The sequence below is a fragment of the Homo sapiens genome, chromosome 21 (assembly GCF_000001405.40).
Source record: "Homo sapiens chromosome 21, GRCh38.p14 Primary Assembly".
Classification (NCBI taxonomy): Eukaryota; Metazoa; Chordata; class Mammalia; order Primates; family Hominidae; genus Homo; species Homo sapiens.
Window position 1 is genome coordinate 8375886 of NC_000021.9, and position 12815 is coordinate 8388700.

At 48.1% G+C, this 12815-nt stretch overlaps 1 non-coding gene across 1 annotated transcript; it reads left to right on the forward strand.

Moving 5' to 3' along the window:
• Nucleotides 1–12476: 12476 nt before the first annotated feature.
• Nucleotides 12477–12568, forward strand: MIR6724-3 (microRNA 6724-3). The gene has a single exon (NR_128716.1). It is a non-coding gene; the product is annotated as a microRNA 6724-3 (primary transcript).
• Nucleotides 12569–12815: the final 247 nt, after the last annotated feature.

Sequence of the window (12815 nt, forward strand, 5' to 3'; positions counted from 1 at the left end):
GTAAAATTGTATAGATATGATGCGGGCATGTGTGTATACATGCTTGCTTGTGTGCATAGGTGCGTGTTTTCTGAGAAATGGTACCTTATTGCTACCAGGCTAGGATAGCATTCATGTTCTTCTGAAGATGTCAAATATTGAAGCTCCAGGATTCATAGAACAAGATTCCTAAGTGGTTCACGAGAGGGTGAACGATTGAGTAATGGGTATTTTGGAAGAAACAACTGGCCTAGGGACAAGAATAAGTGTGCAAATCATCTGTGTGAAACACGCTTTCTTCGGAGCACGCATTTCATGCACTTCATTCTACTGTGACAGATATTGCTACTCTGAGTTTGGGAGAGATTGAACCTAGGGTCTACTGTGAAACTCTGTAGACTAGACTTCTGTCTGAGGCAGCCCCTGCCTGTAACCGTAACCTGCGCCAAACTCCAATGGAGCATTCTTCTCAATGGATAAATGGAAATTCCGGATGATCCGATGGGCAGAGAGTGCGACTGTTTTTTTCAGGAGCTCTGGTTGAATGGTTTTGGGGACTTTCTGGGAGGATGCTCTGCACCCAGAAAAGTAGTCCAACGGGAATCATGAGAAAATGGGCGACTCCGTGTGCCTCCGTCCCCTCCTACTTCCTCACCCACCCCTCCATCAGGGATCCCACGTATTCCAGGATGACACGTGTTTTAGTTGTCTTTGGGCGACAACTAGCGGCAACCGTTATTGAAAATGTAAGCTGTAGAGAACAAAAAAACTCTGGTCGCCTGTTCACAGCTCACTCACTGCAACGTTGAATCCTGGGCTTAAGCAATCCTCCTGCCTCAGCTTCCTGAGTAGCTGGAAATATAGGCATGTGCCACAATGCTGGGCAATATTTTTAAGTAGTGGTAATCTCTCTCGATGTGTTGCCCAGGTTAGTCTCAAACTCCTGTCCTCTATCCAGCCTCCCACCTTGGTCTTCAGAAGTCCTGGGATTACAGGCTTGAGCCACTGTGCTCACTCCTATAATTTGATGTTTTCAACAATACTATGTAGTGAAATGCATCACGAAGACATTTTGCAAAAGAAAGCTCACTATCACATATAAAGTTGTATACTTGTCATGTGCTTACGTGAGCGCATGTTCTTGCCTGTCTGAATGTTTTCTGAGAACTGATCATCTTTTCCCCAGGGACACTGGTTGAAGAGCTGCGGGGATTGTCTGGGAGGGTGTCTCGGGCCCGGAAACGTAATCCAGGAGAGATCAGAAGACCGGCGACCCCATGGGCCTCCATCTCTTTCTCCTTCCTTGACAACCCCTAAACCAGTGACCCCACTCATTCCAGGCTGGAACGTCGTTCGGTTGTCATTTGGCGTCACCTAGCGGTCACTGTTATTGAAAATGGAGGCATCACACCAAAACTTCTGGCCGCCCGCGCACAGCCAGGGAAAACTGGTTTCTCTCGGGCCCCACCCTGACCTCAGAGGCACTCCTTCTGTCCCTCCCCCTATGCCTTGTTGCCTAGGAAACCTCCACCCTGGCTGGGAATGCTTATTTCTTTATTTATTTAGAGACAGAGACAGTTTCGCTCTTGTAGCCCAGGTTGAAGTTCAATGGCGCCATCTCGGCTCACTGCAACCTCTGCCTCCTGGATTCAAGCGATTCTCCTGCCTCAGCCTCCCCACTAGCTGGTATTACATGTGCCTGCCTCTACTCCCAGCAAATTTTTGTATTTTTAGTAGGGACGTCATTTCGCCATGTTGGCCAGTCTGTTCTCGAAGTCCTGACTTCAGATGATCCACCCACCTCAGCCTCTTAAAGTGCTGAGTTTACAGAAATAAGCCAGGGCGCCTAGGCTATCATTTGTTTTTCTTTCTTCCTTTTTTTTTTTTTTTTTTTTTTTTAGTAAGCATGAACAGTTCTACCTGGGTTTTAAAAATTGTGTGTGTGAAAGAAAAATAAATCTTGAGGCTTCCAAATCACTAAAGTAAAGGGAAAAGTCAAGCTGGCAACTGTTTAGGGCCAACCTGCCATTCTATTCAAAGTCACTCCTCTGCTCTTTTCTCTTTTTTTTTTTCTTTTTTGAGATGGAGTCTCGCTCAGATGCTCAAGCTGGAGCCCAGTGGAGCAATCTCGGCTCACTGCAACATTCGCCTCCTGGTTTCAAGCGATAAATGTATATTTGATTGCCTCCTTTGGAGAGGCTAATTAGAAACTCCAAAGAATGCAACCATTTGTCTCTTAACTACCTTTGACCAGGAAGTCCCCTCCTCACTTTCAGTCTTCCCGCGTTTGCTAATTTGTCCCGCCTTTGCAGACCGAACCAATGTTCATCTTGCATACTTTGATTGATGTCTCATGTCTCCCTAGAATGTATAAAACGATAATGTTCTCTGTTTACCTTAGGCACATGTCCTCAGAACCTCCTGAGGCTGTCACGGGTATGCGTCCTGAACCTTGGTTACGTAAACTTTCTAAATTAACTGAGACCTCTCTCAAGTTTTCAGGGTTCACAACGGAAAGTGCATTGTAGCTCCACCCTAGGGCTTACCATTAAGAAAAACTATCCTAAATCTCTGCAGATACAGTCAAACCGGTTGTATGTAAACTGTATGAAACTAAATGCACTTATTACAAGTAAATGAATAAATGCTGAGAAAAAAAATCATGAACCGCTCACCTTTCAAAGAAGCAATAATACTATGAATTATGTGTAATTTCCAGAGTCAGCTAGTTTCAAAATTGTCCCCACTAAACTTGGAAAGGTTCCAGAGTGAGCTATTGTGTCTCCAGCCTTTGCTCCTCCCCCTTCTTTCCCCTGCGCCCTCCCCTCAACCTTTGCCGGCAATCACATTCTCTGATTCTGCAAAAGCAGGTGGGAGCCCTAGAGAGAGTTCTCGTTTTTTTTTTTTTTTTTTTTCTTTTTTGAGATGGAGTCTCGCTTAGAGGCTCAGGATGGAGCCCAATGGAGCAATCTCGGCTCACTGCAACATCCGCTTCCTGGTTTCAGGCGATTCTACTGCCTCAGCCTACCGAGGAGCTGGGTTAACAGGCACCCGTTATTATGCCCAGCTAATTTTTGTATTTTCATAGAGACAGGGTTTAACCATGTTGGCCACGCTGGACTCGAACTCCTGCCATCAGGTGATCCGTCAGCCTCAGCCTTTCAATGTGCCGGGATTACAGGCGTGAGCCACTGTGGCCAGCGAGTTCTCTTTTCTTTGTGAAGGGCAAGGCAAAGTGGAATGGATTCATCTAAAAGCGGAGTGCATGCCCTGGAAAACATCATGGTTAGACCCATGTGAGACAGGTTAGTTTTACTGCGTGTGTTCTCCATGTGTTGTTGCCCATGTGTTGCTACCATGGTAATCCTGCTGAGTATGAGAGGAATCAAAGTTTCACACATTTGGTGTATGTGCTTGACTGAGGAACCAATGGGGTGAAGCTACCATCTGTGGGATTATGACTGAACGCCTCTAAATCAGAATCCCGCCCAGAAGAAAGGATGCAGCAGCGCTGGCAAGACTCGGTTGGCCTCAGATAGCCAGTCCCCAGCCTTTGCCACCGGCCGGACGCTCCGCCCCGCTGTGCGCCAAGACCTTGCTCCGGTCTTATCATCCTAAAAAATGGGGTGCGGCCCCCCATCCTAAAAAACGGGGTGCGGCCAGAAAGGCGTTTGCTCCCTGGCCCGTCACATAACATGCTTATGGGGAATCTGATACTAAACTATTGGTAAACGCCCTGCTTCTGGGTCAGGGTTTCCTATGGAGCAGAGCAACTCCCTCACTGCAACCTATTGAAAGTCAGCCCTCCACACAAGGGGCTCTCAACCAGTGTGCGGGAAAACTAGCGTTGTGGCGTGTCCTGTATAATTCAGCCCTGGACCTCTACCTTCCTTCTTTCCTCCTTTTGCCCCCGGGGACTTAGTTCCCGGGCCTGCTCAGGCCCCCCGCCCCGGAGCCCCAGGGCATGCAGGGCTGTCTCTCGCGAGATAACATTGGCGTCGGCCGTGCATTTGGGAGGGGTCGTTCCCCAACAGCAGGCTTTCCAAGATGCAGCGCTGGGGGTTGCGAGGTAGGGTTGGCGCCCCTGCTCGATGTTCCACCTCTCTGATTGAGCTTCTTTCTCCCATCCCGCTGGGAATTCCTCCACGAGTTGGGACCGGATTCTTCGAGCCTCGTGCGAATGGCTGAGGCGCGGGTGTCAGAGGTTTTGCCCCTGCAGTCCCTGCCTGAGTAGTGTTCGCGCGATGCCCGTGGGTGGCTGTTGGGGTCACAGTCCCTCTCCCCGCCTCAGGGGTGCTGGGATGAAAGACTAGCTAGTCACTACCCTTGTGTCTTTACTCCTCTTCTCTGTCCGGGTCAACCAGCGGACTGCGGGGAAATGGCTGGCAGGTCTGCCAAGTTAGACGGCCTCAAACCTGGGCCGGTTCTGTGTGATAAGGTTCCAACTGCGTCTGATCGCTTCCCTCCGCGAGCACCACATTTGGTCTTTAGGGTGGACCCTGTCGATTAGATGCTGGCCTTTGGCTTCCCGATCAGCCCGCGAATCAGCCGACTGCGGGAAGCAAGCAACATCCAGTTGACACGGCCGCGGGCTTCTCTGTCTGGAAGACCTGGGACCAGGGCCTAAGGCCCCAGTCCTCAGGTCTCTGGTCGCCGTGCCCACCTGATGTCCGCGGCAAGCGTTGGACTTGACCGTCAACTTGGGATTTCTAAGGTAGACCAGATAACTTTGGTCAGCAGCAGTACCGCCCGCATTCACTAGGTGTCGCTTTTTCCTTGCGTTGTTTCTTCCTCTCCAACTGTTTCCACAGTACTTTCAGTTTCTCTTCGTTTTGTTTTTCTTTTATTTTTCTTGCTCCTCTTTCTACACACTGAAGTTGCTGTTGTTTTACATTTACCTTTTATTTATTTGTAGTTTTTGAGGCAGGTTGGAGTGTAAGAATGCAATCTCGGCTTACAGCCGCCTCGACTTTCCAGGACTCCCTCAGGTGATCTTCCTATCTCAGCCTTCCAAGTGGCTGAGACTACAGGAATCACTTAATTCTGTGATGTCGAAGCTGAAGTGAGCCGTGATGATGCCTTGCCCTCCAGTCTGAGTGTTTCAGAAGGTAAGAGAGACAGGTTAAAGAAAAAAATTCCTTGAAATAAACTGCAATTAACTGTGATCTAAATTACCTTTTATAGTTTTTCACTCCCACGAGTTTGTTTATTATTATTGCTGCTTATTATTTCTTTGTATTATTGTTTGTCATTATTGTTATTGTTTTTATTATTTATGTAATTATTTAGAGATGGAGTCTTCCTCTATCACCCAGAGTGCAGTGCAGTGGCGCGACTTTGGGTCACTGCAGCTTCAAATGCCTGGGTTCAAATTCGCAATATGGCGAAACACCCTGTTTACTAAAATCTGTCAATGACACCTTCAGGACCGTTGGTTGTGGCGGCTGCAATTTCGGAGGCTGAGGAGGGCAGTTCGCTAGAGCTCGGGAGTTCAAGACAGCCTCGGAAACAGACTGCAGAGCATTTGTCTGACCAAGACCCGCTGCAGCCTCCACCTCCCGACCCCAAGCGATGTTCTCAACTCAGGCTCCAAAGGATCTGGGACCACAGGCGCCTGCCATCATAATGCCCGGATTTTTTTCTTTTCTTTTCTTTTTCAGTAGAGACGGGGTCTCACTGTGTTGCCAGGGCTGGTCTCAAAGTCCTAGGCTCTAGCAATTCTTCCAACTCAGCCTCCCAAAGTGCTGGGATTATAGGTGTGAGCCACAATGCCCTGCCCTCTTTTTTATTTCCTTCATTTTTTCTCTTTTTTTCTTTCTCTTTCTTTCTGTCTTTTCTTTTTCTTCTCTCTTTTTCTTCCTCCCTTTTTTCTCTCATTTCTCATTCTTTTTTTTTCTGTTTCTATGTCTTTTGGTTTTCTTTTTCATCTTTCTTCCCTTTACATCTCTGTCTGTCTATTTTCTTTTTCTTGATCTTCCTTACTCTCTCTCTCTTTTCTTCATTTCTTTCTTTCCATCCCTCTGTCTGTCTGTCTTTGTGTGGATTTTGGAAAATTCTCCTTATTCTGTATCTCCCTGTGTATCACAAGCCTCTGTGACTTTCACTTTGTTGTTTTTCCTCCTTGTCGCGTAAAAGGCATTCACTGCTCTTTTATTTTGATGCTCTGTGGATGTTCGAAGGGTGGGGAAAAAGTGGTCCACGAATGTGATTGGTTTCATGAGAGACACGAGAGACAAAAGAACATATGATGATTACTTCGCTAAATGCCCTGTTTATTCTTTCAACTGCACTCATACAAGTAAGGACGCAGTTGGTGGGTTGAGAGATCTCTGTGTAGTCATGACTCTGCAATTATACTTGACGAGAGCGGTGATGATGAACGGGCGGCATGGAAACCTGCCCTTCTTTGGTGTCAGTTGAGCACAGTGAGAAGAGATTCACAATGGCCTGTATCTCAACCTGATGGTACTGTGTTTCTGCTCTGATCTTTAGGAATGAGAGAAGCATTCCCGTGCATTCCTGCAACGTCCTTGAAGTTTTCTTTTTAAACTTTTCGATTAACTAACGTATTTATTAATTTATTTGAGATGGAGTCTTGTTCTGTTGGTCAGGCCATGGCGCAGTATCGGGCCACTGCAACCTCCGCCTCCCAGGTTCCAGCGATTCTCTTGCCTTAGCCTCTCGAGTAGCTGGGATAACAGGCACGTGCCACCATACCCAGCTAACTTTTACCTTTTTAGTAAAGACAGGGTTTTCCCATGTTGCCCAGGCTGGTCTTGAACTCCAACTTCCAGGAATCCTGTGGCCTCGTCCTCCCAAAGTGCTGGGAGATCCCAGGTCATCAGACTCGAGAAAGAATGTTGGTTGATATAGAAAGGCGAGACACACTGCGCCCGACCCAAATTGCTATTTTTAAAAATAAACCAGTAGGCTGGGTGCAGTGGGCCACTCCTCTCATCTCAGCAGTTTGCTAGGCGGATGTGGGAGGATTACGAGGTCAGGAGTTTGAGACCAGCCTGGCCAACATAGTCAAACTCTGTCTGTATGAAGAATACAAAAATTAACCAGGTGTGGTGTCACACACCTCTACTCCCAGCTACTCTATATGCTGAGGTAGTAGAATCTGTTGAAGCCGGGAGATGGAGATTGCAGTCAGCCCAGATCATGCCACTGGACTCCAGCTTGGGTGACAGAGTCAGATTCCATCTAAAAAAAAAAAAAGTAATTAAAAATAAGTGAGTTTCCAAGAAGAAATAGAAACCCGCAGTGACACAAACATATGCATCTCACCTTTCGAGGCAGCAATGACACTACAAACTTGTAAACTCAGTTCATTTCTTGACTGCGGACCATGGGTATTTGTGATGCTTCCTCTTGGAACATAGTTCTGTGTGACACCATACCCAGCTAACATTTGCCTTTTTAGTAGTCAGAATTTTGCTATATTGCCCAGACTGCTCTTGAACTCATGAACTCCAGGTATCCGCCCGCCCAAAAAAAAGAGTTGTGATGAAAGGAGACACACAGATGGATTTCAGCCCTTAAAATGGTGCATGCTGCCACATTTCACAGATCTTCCCTGGGCCTTACTGGTATTTGCCCAACATAGAAATGCTTTCTAAAAAGTGACAATTTGCTTACATAATATTTCCACAAGCGATGCCTTGGTCTGTGTTTGTTTTTACGTTTTGTTTTGTTTGTAGTTTTTACTTTACTTATCTCTTTTCAGTTGAAGTAGATTTTACCAATTTTAGGAAGATGTGTATTTTCCCCAAAACCTGTTAGCTGGTGTTTTCTTCGGTCATTAAGTAGCGATTTTCGGAATCTCTCAAGGTACAGTGAGAGCCGATTGGTATAAACTATACTTCATAAAATCTTCTTTCCTTTTCATTTTTTTTTTTTTTTTTTTTGTCTTTCAGGTGGAGTTTCGCTCTTATTGCCCAGGCTGGAGTTCAGTGGCGTGACCTCAGCTCACCGCAACCTCTGCCGCCTGTGTTCAAGAGATTTTCCAGTCTTCACCCTTTCGAGTAGCTGAAACCACAGGCAAACACCTCCAGGCCTGGCTAATTTTTTTTTTTTCATAGAGACTAGGTAGCTCCATAATGGTCAGGCTGGTCTAGAACACCCAACCTGAGGCGTACCACCCAACTTGACCACCCAAAGTGCTGAGATTAAAGGCGTGAGCTCCGCGTCTGGCCATAACATCTTATCCTATAGAAGCCCAGAGAGGTTAGGTATGTAGTCCCTGAGACCAGCCTTCCTTGGATGAACTCCAAAGTGATGGCTGAGGATTAGGGAGTGTGGGGTGGGGGCTGGAAAGTCGGTCCCCTATTGTTGCTACCTAGGCCATGACATCCCCAGACTCCCATCGCCTGCTCACCGTTTGAGATTCCCCCCCACCACCGCCTTGGTGGCTGAACTCTTACTTTAATTTCTGTCTTTCTTCGTTTGTTGGGTTTCAGGAGGGGGTGCAGGAAAGACGGTGTGCGTGGGGAGGGGGTGTAGGGTGGGGATGGAGGGGAGCGTCCTAAGGGTCGATGTAGTGTCATGCCTCTTTCATCACCACCACCGAAGATGAAACAATAATCATCTAAATACCGCGTGTTCTCACACATAAGTGGGAACTACATAATGAGAATGCATGCGAAGAACTAGGGGGACGAGAGACGCAGGAGCCTACCTGAGGGAGGACGTGTGGAAGGACAGACAGCTTCAGGACAAAGCAAAACGAGCAGAACACAAAAACTGTAGGGGACTGCGCTGAGAATCCGGGTGAGGAAATCATCGGCACACTGAACCCCCTACTCAGAAGTTTACCTATGAAACAATCTTGCACATGTATGCTTCAAAAACAAATAACAGTTAGGGAAGAAAGAGAGAGAGAGAGAAAGAGAGAGAGACAAGTAAAATAAAGCACCACCTCCTTGACCTGACTCAGGGCGTTTGGGGTCTTCTGGGGAAATGTTCTGAAACAATGGAGTATTTTGGTCTGTTCTTTCTTGTGTCTTTTTTTTTTTTTTTAAGACGGACTCTCGCTCAGCCACCCAGGCTGGAATGCAGTGGTGCACTGGGTTCACTGCAGCAAATATCTCCCGGGTTGAAGCGATTCTCCAGTCTCATCCTCCTGAGTGGCCGGGATTACAGTCACGCGCCATAATGCCCTGCTAATTTTTGAACATTAGTAGAGAAGGGGTATTGCCATGCTTGCGACGCTGGACTTGAAGGCAAAATGAAAATGAAAATGAAACGCAACAAAATAATTAAAAAGTGAGTTTCTGGGGAAAAAGAAGAAAAGAAAAAAGAAAAAAACAACAAAACAGAACAACCCCACCGTGACGTACACATACGCCTCTCGCCTTTCGAGGCCTCAAACACGTTAGGAATTATGCGTGATTTCTTTTTTTAACTTCATTTTATGTTATTATCGTGATTGATGTTTCGAGACGGAGTCTCGGAGGCCCGCCCTCCCTGGTTGCCCAGACAACCCCGGGAGACAGACCCTGGCTGGGCCCGATTGTTCTTCTCCTTGGTCAGGGGTTTCCTTGTCTTTCTTCGTGTCTTTAACCCGCGTGGACTCTTCCGCTCGGGTTTGACAGATGGCAGCTCCACTTTAGGCCTTGTTGTTGTTGGGGACTTTCCTGATTCTCCCCAGATGTAGTGAAAGCAGGTAGATTTGCCTTGCCTGGCCTTGCCTGGCCTTGCCTTTTCTTTCTTTCTTTCTTTCTTTATTACTTTCTCTTTTTCTTCTTCTTCTTCTTCTTTTTTTTGAGACAGAGTTTCACTCTTGTTGCCCAGGCTAGAGGGCAATGGCGCGATCTCGGCTCACCGCACCCTCCGCCTCCCAGGTTCAAGCGATTCTCCTGCCTCAGCCTCCTGATTAGCTGGGATTACAGGCATGGGCCACCGTGCCTGGCTGATGTTTGTACTTTTAGTAGAGACGGTGTTTTTCCATGTTGGTCAGGCTGGTCTCCCACTCCCAACCTCAGGTGGTCCGCCTGCCTTAGCCTCCCAAAGTGCTGGGATGACAGGCGTGAGCCACCGCGCCCAGCCTCTCTCTCTCTCTCTCTCTCTCTCTCTCTCTCGCTCGCTTGCTTGCTTGCTTTCGTGCTTTCTTCCTTTCCCGTTTTCTTTCTTTCTTTCTTTCTTTCGTTTCTTTCATGCTTGCTTTCTTGCTTGCTTGCTTGCTTTCGTGCTTTCTTGCTTTCCTGTTTTCTTTCTTTCTTTCTTTCTTTTGTTTCTTTCTTGCTTGCTTTCTTGCTTGCTTGCTTGCTTTCGTGCTTTCTTGCTTTCCTGTTTTCTTTCTTTCTTTCTTTCTTTTCTTTCTTTCTTGCTTGCTTTCCTGCTTGCTTGCTTTCGTGCTTTCTTGTTTTCTCGATTTCTTTCTTTCTTTTGTTTCTTTCCTGCTTGCTTTCTTGCTTGCTTGCTTTCGTGCTTTCTTGCTTTCCTGTTTTCTTTCTTTCTTTCTTTCTTTTGTTTCTTTCTTGCTTGCTTTCTTGCTTGCTTGCTTTCGTGCTTTCTTGTTTTCTCGATTTCTTTCTTTCTTTTGTTTCTTTCCTGCTTGCTTTCTTGCTTGATTGCTTTCGTGCTTTCTTGCTTTCTTGTTTTCTTTCTTTCTTTTGTTTCTTTCTTTCTTGCTTCCTTGTTTTCTTGCTTTCTTGCTTGCTTGCTTTCGTGCTTTCTTGTTTTCTTGCTTTCTTTCTTTTGTTTCTTTCTTGCTTGCTTTCTTGCTTCCTTGTTTTCTTGCTTTCTTGCTTGCTTGCTTTCGTGCTTTCTTGCTTTCTTTTCTTTCTTTCTTTTCTTTTTCTTTCTTTCTTTCTTTCTTGCTTTCTTTTCTTTCATTCATTCCTTCTTTCTTTTCTTTCTTTCTTCCTTCCTTCCTTCCTTCCTTCCTTTCTTTCTTTCTTTCTGTTTCGTCCTTTTGAGACAGAGTTTCACTCTTGTTTCCACGGCTAGAGTGCAATGGCGCGGTCTTGGCTCACCGCACCTTCCGCCTCCCGGGTTCGAGCGCTTCTCCTGCCTCAGCCTCCCGATTAGCGGGGATTACAGGGAGGCACCCCCACGCCTGGCTTGGCTGATGTTTGTGTTTTTAGTAGGCACGCCGTGTCTCTCCATGTTGCTCAGGCTGGTCTCCAACTCCCGACCTCCTGTGATGCGCCCACCTCGGCCTCTCGAAGTGCTGGGATGACGGGCGTGAGCCACCGTGCCCGGCCTGTTGACTCATTTCGCTTTTTTATTTCTTTCGTTTCCACGCGTTTACTTATATGTATTAATGTAAACGTTTCTGTACGCTTATATGCAAACAACGACAACGTGTATCTCTGCATTGAATACTCTTGCGTATGGTAAATACGTATCGGTTGTATGGAAATAGACTTCTGTATGATAGATGTAGGTGTCTGTGTTATACAAATAAATACACATCGCTCTATAAAGAAGGGATCGTCGATAAAGACGTTTATTTTACGTATGAAAAGCGTCGTATTTATGTGTGTAAATGAACGAGCGTACGTAGTTATCTCTGTTTTCTTTCTTCCTCTCCTTCGTGTTTTTCTTCCTTCCTTTCTTCCTTTCTCTCCTTCTTTAGGTTTTTCTTCCTCTCTTCCTTTCCTTCTTTCTCTCTTTCTGTCCTTTTTTCCTTCGTGCTTTATTTCTCTTTCGTTCCCTGTGTTTCCTTCTTTTTTCTTTCCTCTCTGTTTCTTTTTCCCTTCTTTCCTTCGTTTCTTTCCTCATTCTTTCTCTCTTTTTCGTGTTTCTTTCCTTCCCGTCTGTCTTTTAAAAAATGGAGTGTTTCAGAAGTTTACTTTGTGTATCTACGTTTTCTAAATTGTCTCTCTTTTCTCCATTGTCTTCCTCCCTCCCTCCCTCCCTCCCTCCCTGCTCCCTTCCCTCCCTCCTTCCCTTTCGCCATCTGTCTCTTTTCCCCACTCCCCTCCCCCCGTCTGTCTCTGCGTGGATTCCGGAAGAGCCTACGCATTCTGCCTCTCCGTGTGTCTGCAGCGACCCGCGACCGAGTCCTTGTGTGTTCTTTCTCCCTCCCTCCCTCCCTCCCTCCCTCCCTCCCTGCTTCCGAGAGGCATCTCCAAACACCCACGCGCCGTGGGTTGTCTTCTGACTCTGTCGCGGTCGAGGCAGAGACGCGTTTTGGGCACCGTTTGTGTGGGGTTGGGGCAGAGGGGCTGCGTTTTCGGCCTCGGGAAGAGCTTCTCGACTCACGGTTTCGCTTTCGCGGTCCACGGGCCGCCCTGCCAGCCGGATCTGTCTCGCTGACGTCCGCGGCGGTTGTCGGGCTCCATCTGGCGGCCGCTTTGAGATCGTGCTCTCGGCTTCCGGAGCTGCGGTGGCAGCTGCCGAGGGAGGGGACCGTCCCCGCTGTGAGCTAGGCAGAGCTCCGGAAAGCCCGCGGTCGTCAGCCCGGCTGGCCCGGTGGCGCCAGAGCTGTGGCGCGTCGCTTGTGAGTCACAGCTCTGGCGTGCAGGTTTATGTGGGGGAGAGGCTGTCGCTGCGCTTCTGGGCCCGCGGCGGGCGTGGGGCTGCCCGGGCCGGTCGACCAGCGCGCCGTAGCTCCCGAGGCCCGAGCCGCGACCCGCGGGGACCCGCCGCGCGTGGCGCGGGAGGCTGGGGACGCCCTTCCCGGCCCGGTCGCGGGTCCGCGCTCATCCTGGCCGTCTGAGGCGGCGGCCGAATTCGTTTCCGAGTCCCCGTGGGGAGCCGGGGACCGTCCCGCCCCCGTCCCCCGGGTGCCGGGGAGCGGTCCCTCTGCCGCGATCCTTTCTGGCGAGTCCCCGTGCGGAGTCGGAGAGCGCTCCCTGAGCGCGCGTGCGGCCCGAGAGGTCGCG